A 3,552-nucleotide genomic window follows, 5' to 3' on the forward strand; every position below is an offset into this window, starting at 1 on the left:
GTCCCTCTGTCACATGGCTTGCCTTTTATATTTGCAACACACAAAAGTTAGGACTGTTGTTTAAGCGACACAGGGAGAGAGAGAGAGGGAGAGAGAGAGGGAGAGAGAGAGAGGGAGAGAGAGAGAGAGAATGTCAAATGGAAAAGTGCCATTGCAGTCATATATCAATCAGGCGTGCGGCCGCAGCAGCGCACTAGCAAATGGGAATGCCACGGAAATGTGAGGCGCTCGTTATCGGGGACTCAGCCTCTGCCCACCGCTCGGCTCCCTTCCACGGAGCATCTTACGATGGGAACAGCGTAGCAGAACAAGGGCGAGGAAGTTTCTTTCTTTCTTTCTTTTTTAATGGTATTATGGAACTAATAAGAGGCCAAATGAATATTCTGAATTTAATTCTTTTTCAAGCATGTGGCTGCCATAAAGATGTGCCGTCCGCAATAGAGACGTATAGTTTTGGAAATACAAAGGCAGTGTGGCATTCTGTTGAACGATTCGGCAGCTGACTGTGATGAAGTTGAAATTTTAAGTAAGAGAGGGGAAAGATGGGAACCAGAAATTTTTTTCTCAGGCGATGCTGTTAAAGCAAGTGCAAAACGCTGCCCTATTTTATCACGATGTGTGTGGGTGGTGAGAGTTCTTTTTTTCCGGGTTGTTCATCCATTAAATGATTTTTAGCAGCATATACATGATTAAATTCACAATGGCACTTTAATAAGCCCCTTCATCTGCATCATTTAGAATAAAACTTTAGGTCTGATTTAGAAACAATGAGAACGTGTATTCCTTGACTCCTTGAGCTATATGAAGGAGAAACTAATAGATAAAGCTAACCCATTACACAACAACTAGTAGAAAAGTGACAAAGGTAACTATGTGTGTGGGTTAAATACCTGCAGCTGAATCATGCTGTGTTATGAGCTGTGGGACTACAAAGGCAAATATTTCATAATTCTTGCCCTTTGAAAGCTTAAAATTAACACAGAAAACCGTCAGGGATTTTGGAGGAAAATACAAAGAACATTTAATAATTATTTTATGTCAGGTAAATCAGACCCAGAATAATTTGTTTTATTAATACTACTGATGAAGAATTAAACTGAGAATTTAAAATATATATATTTCGTGGAAAAAATAATACATTATAAAACTCAAAAAGAAATTTTTCTTGGGAGCTTCATGTAATTGTTGATGCTGAAACTGTCTTGTTCAACTCTGTATCAAACTATTTGTTATTCATTAATAAATTTACATTCACCTTATTACTTTTCCATGGGACCTTTACTCCAGTCACTGATATTTGCAAGAGGTGTCTTAAAACTTTCAGTTTTATTGCCAGAAATCCCTTTTCTTATGCTCCACTTGGAAAAAAAAATACCCTGTCTACCTTGGACCAGCCAGTCACAAACAGAATCCACCTGCGAAGATCATGGATAAATGACAAATTCAAAGCCTTGAAAAAAAACCTGGCACTTGGCTGATGATGATATTGGCTAAATATCTTAAAAGCAGAAGATCAAAAAGCAAATGGAAATTGGGCCTTAAAACTGGAAATAATCTGAAAGGGGAAATGACTTGTAGCTGAGTAAGAGCCATGGAAACAGTCAGGAATACATTTTCTGGCCTAATTTTGTGGGTCAGATTGGGAGGGGGAATAAACTCTTTGGCCACCAACATTTTCAAATATCAGAACTTGACATCCGTCCACCTTCTCATTTCTCCCAAGAAATAATCTGTGGCTTTCTCAACATATGCTCGCCACTCCACCCTGCCATCTTTCGCCTTCAGGTTGTCAGGGTTGCATGAATTCTGCCCAGTTCCTGGGCAGAATTTTCCAGCATTCTACAATCTGCCCTTCTGAAAGAGCACCACAGAAAGTGTAAAGATTGCAAACACATTGACTGCTTGGCCACAGAAGACAAGATCTCTCCCAGATGGAGTCCTACTGCTTCTTCCAGCCGTTATTTTGTCAGGAGTGGCGAAGAATACCATCTGCTGCCCCATTCAAGAGGAAGGCTTTGCCTCCCCACATTGGGCTCCAGAGAACCCATTTCTAAGCCTGTCAATAGAGAGCTGGCAACAGCAACTGTTTTTATCTCATCACCATGCTTTTTAGAAAGGTCACTGTGCCACGTGTAGTTTCTTTACTGGCCATCATTAATGTTGCTGAGAAAGAAGGACTCCCTTTAACTTTGCCAAAGGGATGAAGGGACCCCTGCTGTTATTTCGTATGTATTAAGGGAGAGAAGAGTTTGCAGAAGGAGATGTCTATCAGCTGGCTGAGAAATCCTTCAAGGGATCACTTCTCAGCCTTTTATTTCTGGTCCTGTTTCAAGTTGGGTTTCTCTTTCATGGTAGCCCTAGTGGATATTTACAGGAGTCACCTAGCATTCAAACACCCCTGGGGGGATGGGTAGTCCCAAAGCAGGTGGGAGACAGGACCCGACTTCTTGCTGCAGAACCTGAAGAAGCAGGTGTTTCCCCTCCCCTCCTCAGGACAGCTGGAGGAGCCAGGTGTAACCAAGCCTGGTTCACCAGATGAGCCATCTGGGAGGAATGACCAAGGCATGCCGATTTTGTGGTTCCACAGGAATCGAGATCCCAGAGGTTGCAGCAGCTGGTGTGGGGAGCTACAGAGTCCAGCAGTGTGACAGTGAGTAATCTGGGGACACAGGGCCTGTGGCGACATCCTCAGTAGTTTCGTCTCTTTGATTGCATCTGTGTTTGCCACCATTTTATGAGCCTGGGGCTCCAGCTTTCCTGGTGATTCTGTGAACTGCACCCCATCCCCACCCCCACCAAGATCCTACCAATAAATTCCTTTCTCCTTTAATTAGCTAGAGATAGTTTTTGAGGTTGGCAACTAGGAATCCTAACCTGAATATTACATTTTCCAAATTTAGGCAAACTAACATCATTAACATACAGATGGAAACACAGTCTCCACTTCCTCATAGTTACTTTCCCAAACAAATAAATGGCTTCAGATTCATTGTCAGTCTGCTCTAGTCTCTGCTATAGTATTGCAAAAGTAGGAAATTCCTTTGTGGGTGTATGAGAAGATCCATGGTGTATGTGCATTTGTGTAATCCCAGTATACCAGCATAATCTATGAGGCACAGTTTATAATTTTCTGTGAGAATGCTAATTTCTATTGTCCATGAATATGATAGTATTCATTCATTCAAAAATACCTGTTAATAGTAATAGCAACCACTTAACGGGTGTTTACGCTCTGTCAGCCTCTGTGCCAAATATTCTATATGTATTATCTCTTTCAAAGAGATATACAACAACTCTATAAAGGAGATACCATTAATGTCTCTATTTTACAAATGGAAAAACTGAGGCTCTGAGAAATTAGGTGGCTTGCCTGTGGTTGACACAGCAGGCAAATGGTAGGTATGAACTTTGGCTTTCTTGTCTCCAAAGACCATGGCTTACCTACTATGCTCTGCTGCCCCTATTCAACAGAAACTCCCTGAGCAACACCTACATAGTAACGCTCTGCTATTTGTTGGGGAGACACATAAAAGTAGGACATGGATCCAGTTC

Source organism: Homo sapiens, chromosome X, assembly GCF_000001405.40.
Source record: "Homo sapiens chromosome X, GRCh38.p14 Primary Assembly".
NCBI classification, from domain to species: Eukaryota; Metazoa; Chordata; class Mammalia; order Primates; family Hominidae; genus Homo; species Homo sapiens.